This window comes from Homo sapiens, chromosome 16 (genome assembly GCF_000001405.40).
Source record: "Homo sapiens chromosome 16, GRCh38.p14 Primary Assembly".
NCBI classification, from domain to species: Eukaryota; Metazoa; Chordata; class Mammalia; order Primates; family Hominidae; genus Homo; species Homo sapiens.
The window spans coordinates 58,251,971-58,277,331 of record NC_000016.10 but is presented as its reverse complement, the minus strand read 5'-3'; the positions used below and the strand labels follow the sequence as shown (position 1 = coordinate 58,277,331).

General features: G+C 42.6%; 1 protein-coding gene across 2 annotated transcripts in view, besides 2 other annotated features; it reads right to left on the bottom strand.

Annotated features, from left to right (window-relative positions):
• The window catches only part of CFAP263 (cilia and flagella associated protein 263), a 33,901-nt gene that overhangs the window by 6,505 nt on the left and 2,035 nt on the right, over positions 1–25,361 (bottom strand). The window contains exons 2-7 of one of the 2 annotated variants that reach the window (NM_014157.4): positions 24,479–24,605; positions 23,173–23,334; positions 18,809–18,964; positions 17,398–17,478; positions 14,792–14,947; positions 9,746–9,853 (exon numbers count right to left, since the gene is read on the bottom strand). In NM_014157.4, the coding sequence (NP_054876.2) occupies positions 9,746–9,853; positions 14,792–14,947; positions 17,398–17,478; positions 18,809–18,964; positions 23,173–23,334; positions 24,479–24,605 (790 nt within the window). The remainder of the gene's footprint in view (positions 1–9,745; positions 9,854–14,791; positions 14,948–17,397; positions 17,479–18,808; positions 18,965–23,172; positions 23,335–24,478; positions 24,606–25,361) is intronic. The other variant, NM_001142302.2, reaches the window with a different exon arrangement.
• Positions 12,093–12,387: an enhancer, noted in NCBI's record as "tiled region #4701; HepG2 Activating non-DNase unmatched - State 10:DNaseD, and K562 Activating DNase matched - State 5:Enh". NCBI's record gives its function as "activates a minimal TATA promoter and a strong SV40 promoter by Sharpr-MPRA in HepG2 and K562 cells {active_cell/tissue: HepG2 | K562}" and the evidence as "EXISTENCE:reporter gene assay evidence [ECO:0000049][PMID:27701403]".
• Positions 19,310–19,459: a silencer, noted in NCBI's record as "silent region_7549". NCBI's record gives its function as "represses an Ori minimal core promoter by ATAC-STARR-seq in GM12878 lymphoblastoid cells {active_cell/tissue: GM12878}" and the evidence as "EXISTENCE:reporter gene assay evidence [ECO:0000049][PMID:35858748]".

Here is a 25,361-nt window from a genome sequence, read left to right as displayed (position 1 = left end):
CATGGTGAAACCCCATCTCTATTAAAAATACAAAACTGAGTCGGGCATGGTGACTTAGGCCTGTAAACCCAGCTACTTGGGAGGCTGAGGCAGGAGAATTGCTTGAACCCTGGAGGTGGAGGTTGCAGTAAGCCGAGATCACGACGCTGCACTCCAGCCTGAGTGATAGAGCGAAACTGTCTAAAAAAAAAAATTTAAAAAAAAATTTTAACATTATCCTTTTAACTTTTACTTTACTAATTCTTTTGTTTAGGCAATACATTCAGTTCAAATGGTACACTGTGGCAAGCTCCCATCCCACTCCTGTCACCCCATCAGGAAGATCTCCTGCCCAGAAGCATACACTGTTTTTAGGTTTTGTGCATCCTTCCAGAAATCTAGGCTTATACAAACATGTTTCCTTTTTTTGACCTAAATAGTAGCATACTCTATTCACTTTTATTCATCCAGATGTTTTCACTCAATAAATCTTGAAGATCTTTGTGTATCAACACATGAAGAATTTACTCATTCTTTTTAAGCTGCATAATTTTCCACATGGATGTACCATAATTTAACAATTCTCCCACAGTCACTTAACTGTTTAATCTCTTGCTATTACAATAAACAGTGCTGCAATTACTAACTATCTGGGTATACATCATATTATCATTATGCAAGTGAATCAGTAGGATAAACTGCTAAAAGTGAAATTGCTTGTTCCAGGCAGTGGTTCTCAACCAGAGGCAATTTTGCCCCCAAGGGGACATTTGGCAATGCCTAAAGACATTTTTGTGGGAATTAGAGGGGTGCTGCTGGCATCTAGTAGGTAGAGGGCAGCGATGCAACTGAAAACCCTACAATACACAAGACATCCCCCTACAAGAAAGAATTATCCAGCCCCAAATGTCAGTAATGTGTTTAGGGTGCAAAACCCAGCCTTAAGCATATGTGCATGTTAATGTTTGGTAAACAGTGCTAAATTTCCCTTTATAATAATCAAGACAATTACACTTCTCCAGTAATGTTTGAGACTGCCGGTTTTCCCTCATTCTCTCACTACAGTTTTATCGACTCTTTGATCTTTGTCAATCTAAGAGAAGGAAAATAATATCCCATCATAGCTTTCTTTTGTATTCCTTGTATTACGAGTGAGGTAGAATATTTTTCACATTTCAGTTTTTTAGCTTTTCAGTAAACTCTTGACAACTTTTGTCCATTTTTTCTATTAGTTATTAGTTTTTTCTTGTTGATCTATAGAAGTTATTTATTTGGAGTTATTAGCTCCTTGTGGTTTTAGATACATTTTTCCAGTTATTTACCTTTTGACTTTGCTTATGATCATTTTTGCTATGCAAAAAACTTTCATTTTTATATAACTCACTTTATTGATGTCATGGTTTCTAGGTTTTACATTTTGAAAGACCTCTTCATTCCAAGATTATATTAAAAATTTTCCCAGTATTTATTTTAGGATTTTAATGGTTTTATTACTTACATTTAAATCTCTGATATACCTGAATTAATTTCAGCGTAAGGCATAGTTCCAACTTAATTTTTTCCTTAATGTTTGCCCAGTTACCCCAGTTACCCCATGTCATTTATTCAATAATCTGGCTGTCCCTTGATTAATGCCATGCCACTTTTATCATAAAGGTATCAATATCAAAGCTTTATCAAATATTTGTATACTTATGTGATCTGTATCAGGGCTCATTATAGGACCTTATAAATTTTTCTTTGATCTTCCAGCCTATTCCTGAGCGTGTGTTAAATATTGTAGCTTTATAACATATTTCATTATCTGATAGGGCTACTCCTCTCATTTACTCATTCAGAATTTGGGGATACTCTTTTTTTACCCCCCAAAGGAATTTTTGAGTCAGTTGATTTAGATCCTTAACAACAAACAAACAAAAAAACCTTCCTTGGTATTTTAATTGGAATATCATATTTCACAGATCAACTTAAAGAGAATTAACATTTTTATTATGTTGAATCTTCCCAATATGGTATTGTCTTTTAATTCCTTGCTTCACAAAGCACAATCTGTGGCACTAGAAACACTTGGGAGCTGCAGACTCCCAGGCTACCCGAGACCTACCCACTCAGAATCTGCATTTTAACATGATCCCCAGGTAATTGGTTTGCACCTTCCATTGTTTCAATACACTATAAAACAAACCAATAATTTAATTTTTATTAACTTGTTTTCAGAATGCAATAAAAAATTGTCAAGTGTTCAGTGAATACCTCCTGTCTGTTTAGCCTAAACAAACAACTGTGGAGAGACCCAAAGATGTGGGCAGAACCATCAATGCATACTCCCGTCCAGATGGTGATTTGAGAATACCTAAGATAAGTATAATGAAGTAGCAAGAATGAAGGCATTAAAACGTAAGTACTACAGCTGTGAGGGACATGCTGAGAAGACCAGCGACTAAGATCCCCACCCAGCAACCCACTTGTAGAGCAGCAATGTCACTACGGGAAAAATTGTCCACTGTCCCACCCCAGTTCCAGGGCAGCAGTGCAGAAGTTTTGCCCAGGGAGAGAGGCTGTGTTTTGTCTGTTTTCACACTGCTATAAAGAATTACCCAAGACTGGACAATTTTATAAAGAAAAGAAGATTTGATTGACTCACAGTTCTGCATGGCTAGGGAGGCCTCAGGAAACTTACAATCATGGTGGAAAGTGAAGGAGAAGCAAGGCACATTTTCGCAAGGTAGCAGGAGTGAGAGCACATGCAGGGGAAACTGCCACTTTAAAAACCATCAGATCTCATGAGAACTCCCTCACTATCATGAGAACAGCATTGGGTAAACTGCACCCATGATCCAATCACCTTCCACCAGGTCCCTCCTTTGACAAATGGGAATTACAATTTGAGATGAGACTTGCGTGGGGACACAGAGCCAAACAAAATCAGGCTGTAAATCAGAGGGCTCTGGAATGCTGCCCAAGGGGACTCTATTTGGAACAGAGATGGGGAGCTCATGCCTAAGAACTGTGTGGGAAACAATGGAGTTTTTTAAGGTAAGCAATTTAGAGGAGGCTGGTAGTTCCATAATGTTAGTAGCAGCAAGTAAAATAATAAACCAGCTATATGTTTAACAGAACAGCAAAAGAGACCACTAAGAAGAGCCCTCTGAGAGTTGGAGCAAGCCTCAAAGACTGGCAACACCTTGCCCCTGCAAAGGGTTCTGACTTTAATTGGATCAGAATGTAAAACAATTAATGTCTCAGGGTATTGTTGAAAGCAATAGAGCAATTAGCTAACAATTAATGAAGGCTGATGGCTGAGTGTGATGCCAATAGAGTAGACCAGCTGTAAGCTTAGTAGGAAGATGCAGAGTCAAAGAGAACTCAGCAGAAGCAACAATTATCCCTGGTCGTCAGGGCAATTGTATCCATGACTAAGGCTGTACCATGTGAGGAGAAACATTAGAGAGTACTAACAGCAGGGGAACAGATCTAGTTTACTGATCTAGTCCAGCCAAGTCACTAAACAAGTAACAAGCAAAAACAATGACAAGCCCAAGAAAGGGATGGGAGGGACCAATATCAAGAATTCCTATATCACCTAAAATATACAGCTTCCAACAAAAATTATGAGATAGGCAAAGAAATAAGAAACCATGATCCACCCAGGGAAGGCAAAATAAACTGCCTTTGAGGGACAGCAGATGGTGGACTTAGCAGACGAAGTCTTCAAAGGAGCTATTCAAAGAACCAAAGGAAACCATGTTTAAAGAATTAAAGTAATAATAATAATGTCTCATCAAGTAAAGAAAATCAACAAAGAGGTAGAAATTCATTTTTTAAAACATAGAAAATCTGGAATCTTTTCAATATGATGACTAAAATGAAAAAGTCACCACAGGAGATTGACAGCAGATTTAAGCCAGTAGAATAAAGCATCAGTAAACTTGTAGATTGATAGAGATTATGTAGATTGAGGGGCAGAGAGAAAAGAGAACCAAGAAAAATTAACAGTCTCGGAGAAATGTGGAATACCACTAAGTGTACCAACATACAGGTAATGGGAGTAACAGAGAGAGAAAAGAAAGAGAAAGGAGTAGAAAAAATTATTCAGATATAATGGCTGAAAATTTCACTAATTTGTTGAAAAACAGTAAGCTACACATACAAAGGGCTCAACAAACTCCAAACAGAAGAAATGCAAATAAATCCACACCCAGACTCATCATATTCAAAATGTTAAATGGCAAAGCAAAGAGAAAATATTGAAAACAGCAAGAGAAAACAATTCATTACATACAAGGGAAGCCCAACAAGATTAACAGCTGATTTCTTATCAGAAACAATGAAGGCCAGAAGGCAATGGGCTGAAAAGAAAAAAAACCTGCCACTCAAGAATATTATATCCTCAAAATGATCTTTCAAAATGAAAGCAAACAATCAACACACTCAGATCTTGGTTTCCAATGTCATTCTCAAATAAAAGACACCAAGCCTCCTTGGAGAAATGGTGGATTCTAGGACTGAGGCAGAAAATATCTAAGATGAGCCTAGAGCATCTTCTGGTGCCAGAAAGGAAGTGCTCAAAAAAAAAAAAAAAGCCATTAAGATGAAGAGATTCAAAGGGACACCAAATTCAACTGAAAGAGCTCCCAATGGCCAACCTGGAACAATTTGAGCAACAAAATAAATAATGTAATACAGTCATATGCCACAGAAAACATTTCGGTCAACAATGAACCACTTATGAAGATGGTCCCATAAGATTATAATGCCGTATCTTTACTGTACCTTTTCTATGTTTAGATATGTTTGGATACACAAATACTTAGCATTGTATTATAATTTCCTACAGCATTCAGTACAATAACATGCTTTTGTATGTAGCCTAGGTGTGTAGTAGGCTACACCATCTAGGTATACCATCATAGGGTACACTCTATAATGTTCACACAATGATGACATTGCCTAACAATGCATTTCTCAGAATGTATCCCCATCATTAAACAATGCATGGCTTATGATATTATAAGCCAACATACAAAACAAATATCTGGCCGGGTGCGGTGGCTCACGCTTGTAATCCCAGCACTTTGGGAGGCTGAGGCGGGCAGATCACGAGGTCAGGAGATCGAGACCATCCTGGCTAACGTGGTGAAACCCCGTCTCTACTAAAAATACAAAAAAATTAGCCGGGCGTGGTGGCGGGTGCCTGCAGTCCCAGCTACTCGGAGAGGCTGAGGCAGGAGAATGGCGTGAACCCGGGAGGTGGAGGTTGCAGTGAGCCGAGATCACGCCACTGCACTCCAGCCTGGGCGACAGAGTGAGACTCTGTCTCAAAAAAAAAAAAAAATCTATGAGTGGAAACTGATATAAATAAATGATGTTAAAAATAAATAAATGGAGGAGAATAGATAAATCTCCTATACAGAAGAATTCCAAATAAATTATGTGGAGCATAAATCCCCACTCCTTAAGTATGGGCTGTACATAGTGACTTCCTTCCGAAGAGTACGGTATGGAAAGGAGGGAGAGTAACTTCACAGTGAAGAAATCTATAACATACTATCCATCTAGGTGATCAAGGTTCACATCAATGATGAGTCATGTTGACAGTAGACTCCCTTGATATGATGTGATGTGAATGGCACTTTATGTCTGTGGTCTTCCTCCTCAAAACACATAAACCCCAATATAATTATGAGAAAAATATCAAACAAATCCAGTGGAGGAACATTCTACAAAAACCTGACAGGTACTCCTCAAAACTGTCAAGGTCATCAACATCAAGGAAATTCTGAGAAACTGTCTCAGCCAAGAGGAGCTTAAGGAGACATAGCAGTAAATGTAATGTGGATATCCTGGGTGGGATCCTGGAACAGTTAAAGGACGTCAGGTAAGAACTAAGGAAATGTGACAAAAGCACAGACTTTGGTTAATAATACTGTATCAATACTGGTTCATTAATAGTAATAAACACATTGTACTGATGTAAGAGGTTAAAATAAGGGAAACTGGGTATGAGGTATATGTTGGTTCGCTGTACTATCTTCACAATTTTCCTGTAAATCTAAAATTTCTAAAATAAAAAGTTTATTTTTGAAAAATAAAGGAAAAATAAAGACATTCCCAGATTAACAAAAACCTACAGAAGTCATTGCTGGCAGACCTGCCTTACAAGAAATACTACAGGAAGTTCTTCAAGCTGAAAACAAGTGATACCAGACAGGAATATGAAATCAACATTAAAAAAGTAGTGCAAATAAAATTAACTGTATAATAGGTAATTATAAAAGACAGTATAATTGCATATTTCTTCACTTAACTGATTTAAAAATCAAATGTATAAAAATACATATATAATTGTATTTGGGGAACTATAACATATAAACATGGAGTGCATTTGACAGTAATAGCACAAAGGAGGGAGGCTGAAACAAAGCTGTATTTGCATAAGAAACGCCAGATAGTAACTCAAATTCACAGGAAGAAATGTAAATAAAAAGGTTAATACGACAAACTCTGTAAACATATTTCATCTCCTTTCTTCTTTCAGCTTTTGAAATCCTCGCTCACACTATTTAAAAAATTAACTCAAAATCGATTATAAAACCTAAACATAAGAGCTAAAATTATAAAACTCTTAAAAGAAGACAGAGGAGTAAATCTTCATGATATTGGGTAAGGCAATGGTTTCTTATATATGACACCAAAAGCACAAGCTCAAAAGAAAAAAAATGGATAAACTGGACTTGTATCAAAATTAAAAACATTTGTGTTGCAGACAAAACTATCAAGAAAGTGAAAGAAAATCCACAGAATGGGAGAAAATATTTGTGAATCTTATACAGATGATCCTTAACTTACAATGGGTCACCTTAAGTTTTTTTTTTTTACTTTAAGATAGTGCAAAAACAATACACATTCAGTAGAAACCATACTTCGAGTACCGATATAACCCTTCTGTTTTTCACTTTCAGTACAGTGTTCGATAAATTACATGGGACATTCAACATCCTATTATAAAACAGACTTTGTGTTCGATGATTTTTCCCAGTTGTAGGCTAATGTAAGTGTTCTGAGCATATTTAAGATAGGCTAGGCTAAGCTATAATGTTGAGTAGGTCAGGTATGTTAAATGCATTTTTAACTTATGATATTTTCAACTTACAATGGGTAAGTTAAAAAGATAAATAACCCAATTATAAACTAAGCAAAGGACTTGACTAGACATTTCTCAAAGAAAGATAGACAAGTGGCCAATAAGCACATGAAAAGATGCTCCATGTCATTAGGGAAATTCAGATAAAAACCACAACGAGCTATCACTTCATAGCAAGTAGGATGGGCATTTTTTTAAAAAACTGAGAATAACAAAGATGTACAAAAACTGGAACCCTCTCATACATTGTGGGAATACAAAATGGGGCAGCCACTTTCAAAAACAGATTTGTAGTTTTTCTAGGTGTTAGACACAGAATTACCATGTATAACCCACAATTCCACTTTTAGGTGTATGTCCAAGAGAAAAGAAAACACGTCAAGGGAAAAGAAAACATGTATCCACAGAAAAACTTGTACCAGAATGTTCATATCAGGATGACTCATGATAATCCCTAAGTGGAAACCCAAATGTCCACCAACTGATGAATGGATAAATAAAATGTGGTCTATCTACACAACGAAATGTTATTCAGCCATAAAAATAAACAAATGATACATGATACAAGTGAACCTTGAAATGTTATTCCAAGTGAAAAAAGCCACTCATAAAAGACCACCTATTGTATAATCTCTTTTAAATGAAATGTCCAGAATAGGCAAATCCACAGAGGCAGAAAGTAGATTAGTGGCTGCTGAGAGCTGGAGGGTGGGAGTGGAGTGTGGGGAATGGAGAAGGATCTTTTCTTTTCTTTTCTTTCCTTCCTTCCTTTCTTTCCTTTCTTTCCTCCCTTCCTTTCTTTCCTTTCTTTCCTCTTTCCTTCCTTTCTTCTTATAAATAAATGTATTTAAGTAGTTTTTTTTGTTTTGTTTTGTTTTGAGACAGAGTCTCCCTCTGTCACTGAGGCTGGAGTGCAGTGGCACGATCTTGGCTCACTGCAACCTCCACCTCCTAGGCTCAAGCAATTCTCCTCCCTCAGCCTCCCGAGTAGATGGGACTACAGGTGCCCACCACCATGCCTGGCTAATTTTTTATTTTTAGTAGGGCGGGGTTTCACCATGTTGGCCAGGCTGGTCTTGAACTCCTGACCTCAAATGATGTGCCCACCTCAGCCTCCCAAAGTGCTAGGATTACAGCGTGAGCCACTGCACCTGTCCTGTGGGGAAGGATTTCTAATGGCTGCAGGGTTTTTTCCTGGGGTGATGAAAATGTTCTAAAATTATTGTGTTGATGGTTACACAACTCTGTGAATATATTATAATCCACTGAACTGTACACTTTAAATGGGTGATTATATGGCATATAAATTAAATCCCAATAAAGCTATTTTCAAAACGTTAACAAGAAAACTAAAATATACTAAGCAATGAATGTCAGGCTTTAAAAAAAATCAATTTTAAGTTTTACTTGTAATCTAATAACTATCAACACAAGGAAAAAATAAATAAGGACCATGGCAATTCTGCATTAAGAGAGTTCACAGGTTTTTGCTTTACCTTTGCTACTTGCCACTCTGTACTGAAATTGGGGGTTTTTTTCAGAAGGTATTGGTTGTCCATCGAGAAAATGATGTGCATGTTATGACAAAACTTAGATGTGAATAATCCTGTGGCTTTGGGGCTATTGTAGGCAAATTTGGGGCAGCACAAGACAATGACACTAATAATCATACAAACAGTTTTAGAGTTTGACAAAGCATCATTATATGTGGTCCTCTCTAGCCACTACAACAAGGGCAGTAGATCTATTTCACAGATGTGGAAACAGTCCTGTCTATTTAAAAGCTTGTTCAAGACCAGAAATTGGCAGCACCAAACCTGATGCCAGGCCTTCTGGTCATGAGTCCAGCACTCTTTCTCCTGTGCCCTCCCCAAAAAGTTCTCTTTGCATCATATCCTATGTGCATTTAAGTTAGGGAAATTCAGCTATCAATGCTCAGCAAAGTAATGAGAGAGGTAAATTGCAATTTACACAGGCAAGGAGCTCAGATGACTCCATTCACCTCTTCACACAGTGACCACAGGCCTTGGAGTGAGCCCAGGACAGAGGTCACAGGTCTGCTGTCCTTCAGCCGGTCTCTGCTGCAGGCCACTCAGGATGTAAGTGTACAGCCTGGGTATCGGCGAGATGTCGTATGGTTATGACCTCTCTCTCTCTCTCTCTCTTCCTCTCTCTCTTTCTTCTCTCTCTCTTTCTCTCTCTCTTTCCTCTCTCTGTCTCTCCTTTACATCAAACATTCTATTTTGGCATATGCACTTTTTTTCCTATCAGGTACATTACTACGGGCATTAAACATTTTTCCTGGGGTTGTAGACACGAAACATCGAATATTGTACTTTATGGGTCACTTAAGGAATTCCCAAATGTTATTTGGACTGTACGAAATTTTTGTTTTCTGAGCTGACTCTAGAACCCAACCCAGCAGTAAAATGCGACACACCTGGACTGTAGGTCTCCAGGTGCCACTTTGTGCTTTGATGGCCCAGAGCTATTTTGATTTTTATTGTCTAGGCTTTTCTAGATAAACCAGCAAGGTGGCTTAGATCTTGGTGGACCTTGACTCAAGCCCTTATAAACACAAGGAGACAAACATCAGAAATACCACATTTTGCTCTCTCCTACCTCCTCTACTTGTAGTGTTTCTTTTTCAATTTTTTCAAGTAGCTCTTTTCTCAGCAAGATCTCCTTGTCCAGATTGAGGTATATTTCCATTGCCTTGTGAAGCTTGCTCTGAAATATAACAACACAGCAAGTCTTGAGCTAAGATGACCTCTCAGAACCGCAGGAAGGGGAGACATCTCTTTGTTAACGAACAGAAAAGCAGGACCATCCAGAAAGTCCAAATTGCCTTTCTCATGGTTGCCCAGATTTTCCAAATCCTGATGTCTGAGAACTGGTGGGGGAGGAGAGGACCTTGGAGTCTTGGCCTCAGCTGGAGAGGCAAAGAAGTCAGGCACACGGGGACCTAAATCCTGCCCTACTACTCACTAAGGAGATCTCTGGGGAGGTCCCAGAACCTCTCTAAACTTGGGTCCAGTCACCATGTAGGGTTGTGGAGAGGCTTACAGGAGACAGCCTGGTAGAGTGCTGAACACAGTGCCTGGCACATGGAGAACATACGACAAACAGCTGCCATGACTATCTCATGTGGATGGAGCGTGGGGAATACTCCTCATGAGGTGGGTGCTACTGCTATCTCCATTTATAGGTGAGAGAACTGACCTTTAGGGAGGTAAAACCATTTCCCCAAGGTCACAGAGACCAGGGGGAGCCGGGAATTGAGCCCATACAGAGATTCCACAGCCCACAGGCTCCACCACCATCTCATCGCCTAACGAGGCCGGACCTGCTAGTTTTAGAGGAGTCCTGCAGGAGCACAGCCTTGCAGATTCCCACTGCATCATCTGCCCTTCACTGGCTTCTGCAGGCCCCACCCCTGCTTCTTAGATTGGCCCCCTTTTGACCACTCTCTGTCAGTGGGGAAGAGTCATCCAGAGGAGCTGGGATGTGCTTTGCTGGGCAGAGGAGTGGGCCAAGGGAAAGACGCAGTGATTTGGGGAGCTTGCTCAACAAACCCTGAAAACCCACCCACCAGGCACCAGTCCCTGCACCAAGCACTGGCCAGTGAAGCAAACTAGGCTCTGCCACCAGAAGGCTGGCTCACAGCCCGGACAGTAGGGGAGAGGCAGTAAAATAATTTCAAGAAGAAATGTAAGACTGCAATTGTGCCAAGCTGTGAGAATGCCAGGACAGTGGTTGGAGAAGGTTTTCCTGAAAAAAAAAAAAAAAAAAAAAAAAAAAAATATATATATATATATATATATATATATATATGCTGGAAAGAGAGCTGAAAGATTGAATCAGTATGTCTAGGTGAAGAGAGAAGAGAACATTCCAAGCTAAGGAAAGAACTGAAGAGAGGAGGATCTAATAGGAGCTGGGAGAGTGGGTAGAGAGCAGCAGGGCCACAGTCAAAGTGAAGGCAGGAGGAGGGGGCAAGGGCATTGCCCCGGGGTGTCAAAACAGAGGAGCCTAGAACCACCTGCCTGGGGGAACTTCTGGCACCCAGGGGCCATTCTCTTCCCCACTCCTATTTTCAGACCTCACTTCTTTAAGGCTCATTTCCTGTTCCATGTCCTGCATGAAAGTTGCTCTGCTAAGGAAAGCAAAAGTGAATGAGACCACACTGATGGGGTCAGACGTGGGGCCGGGGAGATGGGGCAGGACTTTGCCGCAAGTCCAGCAATTCAGGTGGGAGGAAGGAGAGTGGAGGGAAGACAAGCGGTCACCAACTTAGAGCGGCAGGGCAGGAAGGAATGCAGGTACAAGAGCAGCAGCGAGGCCATCACTGGCTCTGCCGGGGCAGGTATCCACGAAGGCTGATGAGAGCGAAATTGGTGATGCTGAGTCAAGATGTGGGTCCCTTGAGGAGGCCACTTCTGTAAAGGACTGCATTCACTTCCTATCGCTACATAACAAATTACCACAGACTTTTGTGGCTTAGAGCCACACCCATTTATTATCTCACAGCTTCCATAGGCCGGAAGTCTGCGCACAGTGTGGCTGGACTCTCCCCCATGGTCACATCTGGCTGAAATCAAGGTGTCCGCCCAGAGCTGTGGTTCTTGTCAAGGGCTCAGGGTCCTCTTCCAAGCTCACTTATTGTTGGCAGAAGGCACTTCCTTGAAGCTGTAGGACCAAGGCCCTTGTTTTCTTTTGGGCTGTCAGCAGGAGGTCGCTCTCAGCTCCCAGAGGCCCCTCTTGAATCCCTTCCATGTGGCCCCTCTGTCTTCTAGCCCACAATGGAGAAGACCTCCTCCAGCCATTTCTCCTCATGCTTCACATCTATGACTTCCTCTTCCAGAGAAACTCTGTTCTTTCAAAGGACTCGTGTGATTAGATCAGGCCCAAGTGGGTGATCTCCCTGTCTTTAGATCAACTGTGCCATACAGTATAACCGAATCATTGAACAGAACAGAACTTAACTGAATCCATCATATTCACAGTCCTGGCCAGAGATTATACAGGGTGTAGACACCAAGGGCCAGGGATTCTTGGGGACATCTTAGAATTCTACCTACAAGGCCCCAGATCACTAGTTTACAGGCAGTCTGGAGTGACTCATCGCAGCTGTAGTCACATGCTTACATTTTACCAGACTCCAGCAGGCAGGGCTTGAGGGCATAAAGTCAGAGAAAAAGCTGCCACCTTGACTCAGGCTCACACATGAAACTCACAGAAGAGAAGAGCCCATTTCTGCCTGGTGCTGTCTAAATGCTGTACCCTTAGCACTCAGCCCAGTGCCTACCCTTGTGGAGGTATTGGTACTTTTGGTATAGAGGACAATTATTCTGCATGTCTTTAACAAGGTTTCACACTTCAGTGTTTGATATTTATTTCTTTATTTTCATTTTCTGATTGCTGGGAGAATGAATGTTTCATATTTATATCAAAGTGGCCCCTCCTGTCACCCTCCCACCCCTACCAAATACACACCTGTTCTGCAAGCAGTTCATTCGACAATATTGGCTAAGCACTTGCTTTAGCCAGGCACTGTCCTTGATGCTGGGGACGCAACACTTACTAGACAGAGCACCATCCTGGTGACACAAAACTTGCCTCCAAGAGGTGAAGAATCTTGCCCAGATGAAGCACCTCCCGCAGCAGAGCCCCCATTCAAGCACAGGCAAGGTCTGACTCCACAACTCAGTTGTTCTGCCTCCATTTCCCCCAGGAATGGCTCTCACTCTGCCCACTGTGGCCTGCGCTGCTGATCTCGGATACTGCAAGCAATCTGCACTGTGTGTTTAGACCCATCCTAAAGAGATCAGGCCCTGCCACCTGGCAGTTTGATTTTAAAAATCAGTAGCTCCATTTCCAAAACCCTTGGCTTTTCCCCCACAGGACCAGGCAGGCCCTGTGCTGCTTAACTGATTCCACAGGATAAGATCGAGGTCCAATGTGATCAAGTACAACCTGCTCTCCAGGCAGTGAGGGCCTGGAAGTCACAGGAACTGGCTTCCTCTATAAATAACAGTGATCAGATAAGCTAAAAACTGATGAGAGAAGCTAAAAGTAGAGGATCTGTTGGATGTTTATGACACATAAATTTCAGAATGCCAGCACATTGTTTTCTACGTACTTTATGCTGGAAAAGGCAGTAGAGTGGGATACACACTGAGTTAGGTGGGATGCATACTGGACTGGGAGTCCCAGCTCTTTTTTTCTTGAGACAGAATCTTGTTCTGTTGCCCAGGCTGGAGTGCAATGGCATGATCTCAGCTCACTGCAACCTCTGCCCCCAGGGGTTCAAGCAATCCTTATGCCTCAGCCTCCCAAGTAGCCGAGATTACAGGTGTGCACCACCACGCCCAGATAATTTTTTGTATTTTTAGTAGAGACAGCGTTTTGCCATGTTGGCCAGGCTGGTCTTGAACTCCTGGCCTCAGGTGATGTGCCTGCCTAGGCCTCCCAAAGTGCTGGGATTGCAGGTGTGAGCCACTGCACCCTGTCTACTTTGCATCTTTGACCCCCGGTTTTTTCATTTGTAAAAGGAAAATGTTGAACAAACATAAACTTGGTCTAAAGACATTCATATTCACATTTTTAAACTGTGTGGGCCAAACAAAGCCCACCTGCGAGCTACCTAAGCCCACAGCCACCATTGCCACCTGAGCACTATGCGAGGGGTCGGCAAAACTTTTCTGTAAAGGACCAGATAGTAAATATTTTAGGTTTTGCAAGCCCAGAAGCAAAATTGTGGGTATTGTGTACTTATATTAACAAGAGAAAAAAATCCTACCAATGTTTTATTGATTCAATTCAAAATATAAAAACTGAGTACAATACTGTAGAATATAGGTCTACTAATGAGAGAAATGGAATTTCTGGGGGAAGAAACCAATTTTGCTTCATTTGGTTTCAAGTTAGTGTTTTCTATAATCAAATTGGTTATAAAGGTTCTTCTGTAATATCATTCTTAGCTCACAGGGCAGTGGGTGGGGACACACTGGCCTGCAGTTGCTGAATACGGCATTAGATGGTCTCTAGCAGGGTGACCAGATAGCCTAGTCTGCTGGGGCCAGGCCCTTTGTGTGCCTATAGTCTCTGCTTAATTATTAATAGTGCCTCTTTTCCCTCCCAAAAGGGTTCTGTTTGGATGATAAATTATTTAGTAGTTTTCTGATTTATAGCTAAGACTGCTTTCTTTTGCAAGGTTTTAAGCAGGAAAGTGCTTATAATGTGCTCAAATTAAACAGGGCTCTAAATGTGGTTAGTTCTCAAAACTTGCCATGCATAAAAATCACTTGGGGAATTAGTAACAGCAATAAAAAACAAAATAAATAAGAGGCATGGCCCTCACCTCCTAATTCAATTAGTCAGGGTGAGACTAAGCATCTGTCTATCTATCTATCTATCTATCTATCTATCTATCTATCTATCTACCTATCATCTATCTATATGTTTGTTTGTTTTTTAAAGAAAAACTCTGGTTCTCATGCACAGCCAGGGTTGTGGGAGCATTCAGGGAATTTTAGGACACATGGCTTGACAGCGAGGGGGCACCCAAACGCTGTGTGAAACTGGAATGCACAAGAACCTCCCTGTGGCCAGAAAGGTGAGTGTGGAAAGCCTTGGGGGAGCCCTGGGTATCAGGGATGGCCTTACTTTGTAGGCATTGAGAACCTGCAGAGTGTTTCCAGATGACAGCTTTAGCTGGGTCAGTTCTTGATTCCTTGCTTCAATTGTCTCAAGAAATTGAGCGTTCTCTATCTTCAACTGCTGAAAATCAACATCGTGAAGGGCCTCACTCACCTCTTCCTTCTACAGCTCAGAAAGATGAAAGAAAAGATGATACGTCAGTTGTGATTCTGAATGTATGGCTCACATCTTGCAACTCTTGACAAGACTTTGGAGGTCAGTCATCATTCAGTCATTCAGCAAACACATATTGGGCATCTGTTTGGTCCCAGGCATGGTGTTAGGCACTGGGTGTAGAGATTTAAGTAAATACAATGTTCCCTGGCCCCAGGCAGTGCATATGAGGGTTTACCAACAAGCCATTGACTCAACAGTGTGGTGCAGTGCGATGTGTTGTTCGGGGGGCATGTGGGGGAGTGGGGGCAGAGGGCACACAGAAGTCCCTAAGCCAGGCCAGGGGAGGAAGAAAGACCGAGTCACGCACAGAGGGCATCCCACAGTGGGTGTTGCCTAAACAGGACCATGAAGGAAGAGTAAGAATCAGGCCATTTAAAAGTTGTTTTTAACATGAAAAACCCAGGACAAGCAGCCCACCGATTTCCCCCTCCTTTGATCATCTGATATTTCTGCACTGCAGTGCATGAGTGTATAAGGTTCCCTCCCTGACCTGGCCCACTTTACCAGCCCTGCCAGGTCTATGCCATTTTATATCTGTGGTAGACAACAGCCCAACTTGGGAACTGCTGTTCCTCACTCCCATGCCTCACTCATGCTGTCTGTGCTATCTCCTGGGATTCATCTTCTTCCCCTTCCCAAAACAACACAACTTCCTTAAGCCCCAGTACAACCATTCCTCCAGCTCCAATGCTCCCAACCTGTTTTCCACACCAGAGGGTGATCCCTCTCTCTGCTGAGCCCCTGGAAGCTTTAGCTCTGTGGTCCTTGGTATGTAGCTTCTGTATACAATTACACATATACACCTTTTCTCGTGACACTGCTGCCCACTAGTCTATGAGCTCGCAAGGGCAGGGCCCGTGTCTGTGTTATCTTTGTGTAGCAGCGGCATTAAGGTTAAAGATCATCCATCTACTCCCCATCTCCAGCTTAAAGCCCCTCTTCCTGATGCCCATGCTTGCATGAACCTCCAAGTACCAGGAACTGATGATCTGCAGACAGTTCCACTGGGACCACTCACGGCAGAATTTTTTCTTGCGCTGAACTCAAATCTCCTTCCTTGACACCTCCATCCACAGCCCCAGCTCTGCTCTCCCTTCCTGCTGCAGCCCTGAGCACTTGGAGACAGTGGCTGTGGCCCTCCTGGACCCTCTCTCCTTGGGCACATCAGTCCCAGGCTCTTGGATATGGTTTCTATTCCTGACATCTGGCTTGCTCTCCGATGTGAACTCTAGTTTACCAATTATTTCAAGGGTGGGGCTCACCTTGTGACATGACACTCCAGGTAGGGGCCGCTCAGACAGAGTAGAGAAAGGCTACCCCTTCCTTGGTCTGGGCACTGTGTTTCTATGAACGCAGCCTAGGCCATAGCATCACCACCACCTGAGCTGACTTTATCAGGTACTCTACAGCTAAGCCATCCTGTACCTGAACAGATATTTTGGGGGATCAAAAGTGCAGGGTGTTACATTTGTCCTTCATCACTTCATGCTGTTAAATCTGTCCCAGCTTGGTGAGGTCTTTCTGGATCCCGAGTGACTCAAGCAATAGTCCCCCAACATGTTAATTCTCCTGCCCAGTTTTGTGTCCTTGTCAGTAGCCCCCTTTGATGAGCATGCTACCAGTGCCCAAATTCAAGTTAATAATAAAAATATTGAGCTAGGAAAGGATGGAACCATGTTTGCCTTACTGCCTTTCATCAGGAGCCATTAGGGTCAGCTGATGGCGATGCTAGACACACCAAAGCACATATAACTGTGCCACCAGGCCATATTCCCAGAAAGGGCCAACAAGTATGTCTTGAGGGTCTTTTAAATTCACGCCAACTCTGTCTACAGAAAACCTCTGATTTGCCTGCACAGTCATCATATGAGTTTCCTGTTGCTCCTGTAACAAATCACCACAAACCTCGTGGTTTTAATGCAAATTTATTATCTTACAGTTCTGGAGGTCAGGAGTCTGAAATGGGTTGGGAGGCTCAAATCAGGATCTCAGCAGGGCTGCATTTCTTCCCAAGGCTCTAGGGGAGACTCTGTTTCCTTGTCATTTCCAGCTTCTAGAGGCTGTCTGCAGTCCTTGACTCCTGACCCCTTCTCCCTCTCATGAAAGCTCATCACTCTGATCTCTGCTTCTGTTATCATAGCTTCTCCCACCCTCCTGCTTCCCACTGATAAGGAGGGAGATTATATAGGGCCCACCCAGGTAATTCAAGACCATCTCCCCATCTCAAGATCCTAAATTAATCACATCTGCAAAATCCTTTTTGCCATGTAAGTTAATGTATTCACAGATTCCAGGGTTTAGGATATGGATATTTTGGGGTGGGGGTGGGAACCTTATTCAGCCTACCACAGTAACCTTAAAAAGAAACAGAGAGAGAGAGAAAAAGGACCACATACCTGCCTCAATTGTAAAAGCATTTTTTTCCTCTGAACTTTGAGAGAAACATTTTTCAAACGTAATTTCTCCTTCATATTATCCTAAAACATAAAGGCATATTTTAATGCATTTAATCCATTTCTCTCCTTTTTCCCATTGGTTTGAAAAGTGGATGGTTCTGGGGCTGCAAACCAAACCTTGAGCCCTAACATTCTGTCACTTATTTTAGGTCCTTTTACTTCTACTCAAGCTGGGGCTGGTATGACATTTCATGACCAAGAAGCAGAGGACACTGGTTTTGCACCATGCAAATTTTATATTGCTTTCAAATTCAAGATTATTTGGGTGTATGCTACTGTAGGGGCCTTTCCTGACAAAATGATCTTACGATTTTTTGGTCTTGTATTCCCACGGTAGTTTACATAATTTTTATTACTGTTAACATATTAGGATTAGTAATAACCCTACCTTGTCTCCAGGATCTAAAGCTTGACGTGTTGTAAAAATCTCTGGAAATGAAGGTTACCCCCCAAATTCTCCTTTTTTCTCATAACAGCCCAAGGTCCATCTCCTGATAACAAAGGATCTCAAAGAGCTTGAGATTCACCCAGTAATCCCAGCACTTTGGGAGGCCAAGGTGGGTGGACTGTTGGAGCCCAAGAGTTCAAGACCAGCCTGGGCAACACAGTGAGACCTCATCTCTATAACAATTTTTTTAAAGGTTTTTTTAAAATTTTGAAAAAGAGATTTACCTGTCCTACTCCACAGTCACCTCTCTAGATAGGCTGGACCAGACCAGTCTCATACCTTTCTCAAGAAAATATATCAGATCTTGAAACAAATAACAAAACAAAAAACAGAGATCAATCTGAGGTACTGTTAGTATACCTCCTGCCTGGCTGGTGTTAGCCTTGATAAACACGCATTTATTTATTTATTTATTTATTTATTTATTTATTTATTTATTTATTTTTTCTGAGACGGAGTCTTGCTCTGCTGCCCAGGCTGGAGTGCAGTGGCATGATCTTGGCTCACCGCAATCTCCGCCTCCCAGGCTCAAGCGATTCTCCTGCCTCAGCCTCCCGAGCAGCTGGGATTACAGGCACAAACACCTCGCCCAGCTAATTTTTGTATTTTTAGTAGAGATGGGGTTTCACCATGTTGGCCAGGCTGGTCCTCCAGCTCAGATGATCCACCCGCCTCAGCCTCCCAAAGTGCTGGGATTACAGGCATGAGCCACTGCACCTAGCCATAAACATACATTTTAAAACATGCATATACACATACACTTTCAGGGATGCAAAGAAAATCCGCATATGTGGGCAACATTTATGGTGGACCAAAGGGAGCTAGGCTGCTTCACATGGATGATTTCCATAACATCCCTGTAAGAATGTTTTTTCCCTTTCTAAGCTCTGTCTGCCAACTTACCCTCCGGCGGTTCATGTCCTCAATGTATTTCATCACTTTCTGAGTGGCCAAAATACTCCCTTTCTTCTTGGATATGGCTTTTAGAATATCTTTTTCAAACTCATGCACTTCTCTCGAAACTTCACTCCATCGAATTTCAGCCTCCTCAATGATCGCCTGGGGGAGTCAGCACAAAGAGAGAAGAACGTTTCCAGCAATCTTCAAGGATGTGTCTTCTAAGAAAACCTAAGTTCCCAGGCCTCTTTGTGTCCCAAAATATTATGTTTCTTCTTAGTCTTAGGAACATATCCTTAAGATACAAACTTGACTATATCAATGTTATTAGTTAAAAGCATTCTTCAAAAAAATAGAATCCATAAAAAGAGAGCAAACAAAAACAGGTGTCAGGTATCTATCTTTTTTTTTTTTTTTTTTTTGAGACAGAGTCTCGCTCTATTGCCCAGGCTGGAGTGCAGTGATACAATCTCACCTCATTGCAACCTCCGCCTCCTCGGTTCGAGCAATTCTCCTGCCTCAGCCTCCTGAGTAGCTGGGACTACAGGCACCTGCCACCACGCCTGGCTAATTTGTGTATTTTTAGTAGAGAAGGGGTTTCACCAAGTTGGCCCAGCTGGTCTTGAACTCCTGACCTCAGGTGATCCGCCCACCTCGGCCTCCCAAAGTGCTGGGACTACAGGCATGAGCCACCGCGCCTGGCCAAGCTATCTATCTAAATATGTATTTCCATATTTGAAATTATTTATCCATTAAAAATATCTGGAAGGATATACATCAAAACATGAATGACAGTTACATCTAGAGAGATGGATTAGTGGGGAAATAAATAGGCACTCTTATTATATTTCTGTTATTAAAAAAAAAAAAAGACTTTATATTTCCAAGCCTGAGTATTGGGGGGAAAAATGGAAAAAAAAATAAAGAAGATATTATAAAGTCAGGTATGGTGCCTGTAGTCCCAGCTGCTCAGGAGGCTGAGGCAAGAGGATTGTTGGAGGCCAGAAGTTCGAGGCTGTAGTGTGCTATGATTGCGACCGCGAATAGCCACTGCACTCCAGCCTGAGCAACGCAGTGAGGCCCCATCTCTTAAAAATAAAAAAAAAGATGTTATAAAATGAAAATATGTATTGACGTAAAGAGATGTTGTTAAGTGAAAAATACAGTTTACAAAATAACATGATACTATTTTTGGAAGAAATTCATATATGCAGGCTGGGCGCGGTGGCTCACGCCTGTAATCCCAGCACTTTGGGAGGCCGAGGCGGGCGGATCACGAGGTCAGGAGATCGAGACCATCCCGGCTAAAACGGTGAAACCCCGTCTCTACTAAAAATACAAAAAATTAGCCGGGCGTAGTGGCGGGCGCCTGTAGTCCCAGCTACTTGGGAGGCTGAGGCAGGAGAATGGCGTGAACCCGGGAGGCAGAGCTTGCAGTGAGCCGAGATCCCGCCACTGCACTCCAGCCTGGGCGACAGAGCGAGACTCCGTCTCAAAAAAAAAAAAAAAAAAAAAGAAATTCATATATGCATAGAAAATTATCTAAACTGTAGGAGGTAAATGGAAAGTCAACAGAAATTACCTCTGAGTGGTAAATTGTGAATGTTTTCAAATGTTCTTTTAGCTTAACTGTATTTTTCAACATTCTACAACATAGATTGCCTTGAAATAAGAACACACACACACACATATTACTATAAAAAATAAAATGGAATGGTATCTCTAGCCAGACTGCAAATCATCCTAGTTCAGACTTTTTTTCTGAACACCAAGAGGCAAAAGCATTTTCACTGGCCGGCCTCAGGCTCCAGCCCCATCATCTCCACATGGTAGAACATCAACCCACCTGAAATGCTACTTTCAACACATTGCTCTCCTACTCAAGTATCCTCAGTGGGGTCCAGCTTTCTAAGACATCAAAGATAAACTCCTTGGCATGGCTGTCAAGAAATCATTGCCTTACTCAACCTGACTTCCTAAAGCAGCCTCCAAAGTAGCGTCTTCTCTAATCACACCGGCCTCCTCAATGTCATGCTTGTGCCCACCTCCACTGCCTTGCCCATGTCATTCTCCTTACCTGGGGTGCCCTTCTTTCCCTGTGCTTTAAACAGATGCCATCATTCTTCAAGATCATGCCAAGTCTCTTTTAAGCCCTACCTCCTCAACAAATTCTTTTTGACCACTCTAGCCCATACTGATCTCTGATCTCTGCACTTGATGCTCACATTGCACAACCTAGCGGGTCAGGATAATGCTACCACATCCCAAGCTCCTTTAACTTGCTAGAATTCAACAATGCATGTTTAGAAAGAGAGAGAGGAGGGGTGGGAGAGCAGGATCAGTTGATGTGATACAGACGGTTGCATCAATGGGAGACATGAGTCTACTGACTGGTCCCTCTTGAGACGAGTGTGATTCTGCGAATGCCCACATTTAGAAACAGAAAAATAGAAAACTTTAGAAATAGAACAGAAGTATCTACTTTTCATACAACATGGCTCTCAAATGCAAGCCAACAACGTCATCCTGTGGGCAACCGAATTAACAGTGATGTTTCTTCTCTGGAGGAAACTGACTGTATTGGACTCACTAAGAGACACTACTATATTGTTCTGTAACAGGGCACAAACCATGGGCACGTGTGCCGTATAGAAATGCTGACCTAGGGGCCGGGCGCGATGGCTCACGCCTGTAATCCCAGCACTTTGGGAGGCTGAGGCGAGTGGATCACAAGGTCAGGAGATCGAGACCATCCTGGCTAACATGGTGAAACCCCGTCTCTACTAAAAATACAAAAAAAATTAGCTGGGTGTGGTGGCGGCAGGAGCCTGTAGTCCCAGCTACTCGGGAGGCTGAGGCAGGAGAATGGTGTGAACCTGGGAGGCGGAGCTGGGATCGCACCACTGCACTCCAGCCTGGGCAACTGAGCAAGACTCCATCCCAAAAAAAAAAAAAAAGAAAGAAATGCTGACCTAGGGACTTTTTACTCAATTCACTGACTGTGATGGTTAATATTAGGTGTCAACTTGACTGGATTCAGGGATGCCTAGATGGCTGGTAAAGTATTGTTTCTGGGTGTGACTGTGAGGGTGTTGCCAGAAGAGAATGATATTTGAGTCAGTGGACTGGGCGGGGGGAAGATCCACCCTCAGTGTGGGTGGGCACCATCCAATTGGCTGCCAGAGCAGCTAGAGCAAAGCAGGTGGAAGAAGCTTGTGTACTGAGTCTTCTGGCTCTCCCTCTTCTTCCCATGCCCGACAATTGCTTCTGCTCCTCCTGCCCTCGGACATCAGACTCCAGGTTCTTTGCCTTTAGACCCTCGGACTTGTACCAGCAGCTTCCTGGGGGCTCTAGGGCCTTCGGCCACGGACCGAAGGCTGCACCATTGGCTTCCCTGGTTTTGAAGCTTTCAGACTTGGACTGAGCCACTACCGGCTTCTCTCTTTTCACAGCCTGCAGACAGCCGATCGATTGCGTGGGACTTTGCCTTGTAATCACGTGAGCCAATTCTCCCTAATTAACTCCCTTTCATATATACATGTATACTCTTGGTTCTGTCCCTCTCAAGAACCCTAATATACTGACTTAAACCTCAAACCCCTTGTATTATGAAGAAATTATTGTAGGCCCGGCGCAGTGGCTCATGCCTGTAATCCCAGCACTTTGGGAGGCCGAGGCAGGCGGATCATGAGGTCAGGAGATCGAGACCATTGGCTAATACGGTGAAAACCTCGTGTCTACTAAAAATACAAAAAAAATTAGCCGGGTGTGGTGGCGGGCGCCTGCAGTACCAGCTACTAGGGAGGCTGAGGCAGGAGAATGGTGTGAACCCGGGAGGCGGAGCTTGCAGTGAGCTGAGATCACGCCACTGCACTCCAGCCTGGGTAACAGAGCGAGACTCCACCTCAAAAAAAAAAAAAGAAATTACTGTAAAATTTTAAGAGCATTTAGGGTTATCATGGTTATATCTTCTAAAAGAATTCATATATTAAAGATATATACTGAAATATGTACAGAGATTCACTAGGATTCACTTCCTAGTAACCCAGCCAGATGAAGGGAAAGTTGATCAACCAAAAGAGGCCATATGTTGATGATCATTCCACCCAGGTGTTGAATACATAGGGGTTTGTTGTGCTAGCCTCTCTACATTCGTGTATTTTTGAAATTTCCCATTAAAAAAATGTTCAAAAATGTGTTGTCCCCACAAGCAGGTGGTAAGTTCCTTGAAGATAGGCCCTGGATTCGCTTCATCCTACCTGTGTTTCTTCCAAAGCCCCAACAATCACATGAACCCACTCTAGATACCTCTCAGTGGGGTAGAGGTGGGGAGCCTGGGCAGGACAGGCTGCGCTGGCAGGAAGGTGTACCTCGTGATGCTGCAGGTCGCGTTCCGCATTTGCCCTTGTGTGTCGTAAGTCATCCTTCATGTCCGCAACCTCTTTTTGTACCAGCTCAAGTTTTTGGTCGGCAGTCAGGCCTACCCCACGGTCCATACCTGTCCGGGATTTGGATCTACGCCTGCCTCGAAACTGCAACCCAAGAGAAACAAAGCCATTGTCAAAGAGGAATTGGTAATGAACCAGCCCAAGATAGGCATCAGAATGATCCTCTGACCTGCTAGAAGTTCCCCAGAGTGACAGCCAGGGAGAACAAATTCATGGTAAAAGGATGCTGGATATTAGGCCTGAGCTGACATTTATTTCTCAAGTCATCCTAAGCCCCTGCACTAAATACTTCAAAGGCCTATGTTTGACAATGAAGTGAAAATAAATAAGGGTAAACGTCTTGAAGGTGGAAAGGCTGTGAACCTGCTATAGACTAGCATTCAAGTCAAAGACAGGGGAAAGCTCAGAGGTACTTCCTGAGCTGAACACAGGAAAGAAACTGCATCCGTGGGGGACTGTGTTCAGCAAAACAGACAAACAAACATCTTGGACTTTCTATGCATTTAAGGCAAAGGTCAGAAGCGGGTGGTCCAGGGTACATATGGGTTTGCTTGGCCCTCAAAGGATAAGCCTATACAGATAACCCCTTTGAGACAAGGGCCTGTGCTAGGCCCACTTTCCTCATTTAGGTGGCTGGCTGGGCCTTGTAAACAGTTGAGTCCCTCAATTTAAATGAATTCTTTTTTTTTTTTAATTTTTTTGAGACAGAGTCTTGCTCTGTTGCCCAGGCTGGAGTGTAGCAGTGTGATCATAGCTCACTGCAGCCTCAAACTCCTGGGCTCAAGCAATCCTCCCACCTCAGCCTCCCAAGTAGCTAAAACTACAGGTGCATATCACCACATCTGGCTAATTTAAGAATTTTCTTTTGTAAAGATGGGGTCTTGCAATATTGCCCAGGAAGGTCTCGAACTCCTGGTCTCATGTGATCCTCCCACCTTAGCCTCCCAAAGCACTGGGACAGGCCTAAGCCACTGCACCTAGCCAAAGGGAATTCTTTCAAGTAAACTAAGATATGCTGGGAGAGTCAATCCACTATTAACTGAACCCAGTTTCTTTCACAGTCACTTGAAAGAGAAACCCTAGAGGGCAAAGAAAAATCAAAAGTAAAACAGGGAGAAGGTCCCATGGTCAATTGGCCACAGAGGGCGCACCAAAGGCAGATAAACAAATACCACTTGCATTTAAGGTGACAAACAATAAAAGAATGATCTAGATCTCCATTGTGTACCTGTGCATAATCTGCTGCTGATATTTTAATTTCTGATAATCGTGGAGGTCGCTGATCCCTGGGCTCCAGTTTAGCGTAATATTTCTCAAACATCTCAGTCTCAGTTTTGAGAGCAGAGTTTACATAGCTGCAAGACAGGGTACCTGAGTAAGTTCTAGTAATAAGAGTTTAAACCTCAAATAACTAGTGTTTAATAACTAGTAGACCTGCAAAACCCGTTAGCCCCTTGGTGCCTTAGTTTCCTCACCTATAAAATGGGTATTAAGAATAGCACTTAACTTTTAGGGTTCCAATAAGGAAGACAAAGCCTCTGGCACAGTGCCTGACACATAGTAAGTGCTATATATTTGATATTTTTATTAATATGTTTAATGAGCCACAAAATTCAGAACACTAGTATTACATTGAAAATTCTCATAGGTTTCATCTTCAAGTATCATTGAACCCATGTGGGAGATTATTTCTGAATTACTATATATTATATATATACATATATATATTTTATTTGTTTAAGAGACAGGGTCTTACTCTGTTGCACTCACTGTAACCTGGAACTCCTGGGATCAAGCAATCCTCCTGCCTCAGCCTCCCAAGTAGCTAGGACTGCAGGTGCACAATGCCATGCCTGGCTAATTTATAATTTTTTTTGTAGAGGTGGTATCTTGCTATGTTGTCAAGGCTGGCCATGAACTCCTGGCCTAAAGTGATCCTCCCACCTTGGTTTCCCAAAGTGCTGAGATTATAGGCAATAATAGCCACTGTGCCCAACCTGAATTACTATATTCTTGAAGTTAAACACACCCACAATCTTCAGATGTTTCCTTTGGTTTGTTTTTCAGTTCTTTTATTTTCAGTACCCAATAGATGAAAAGTATCAACCAGA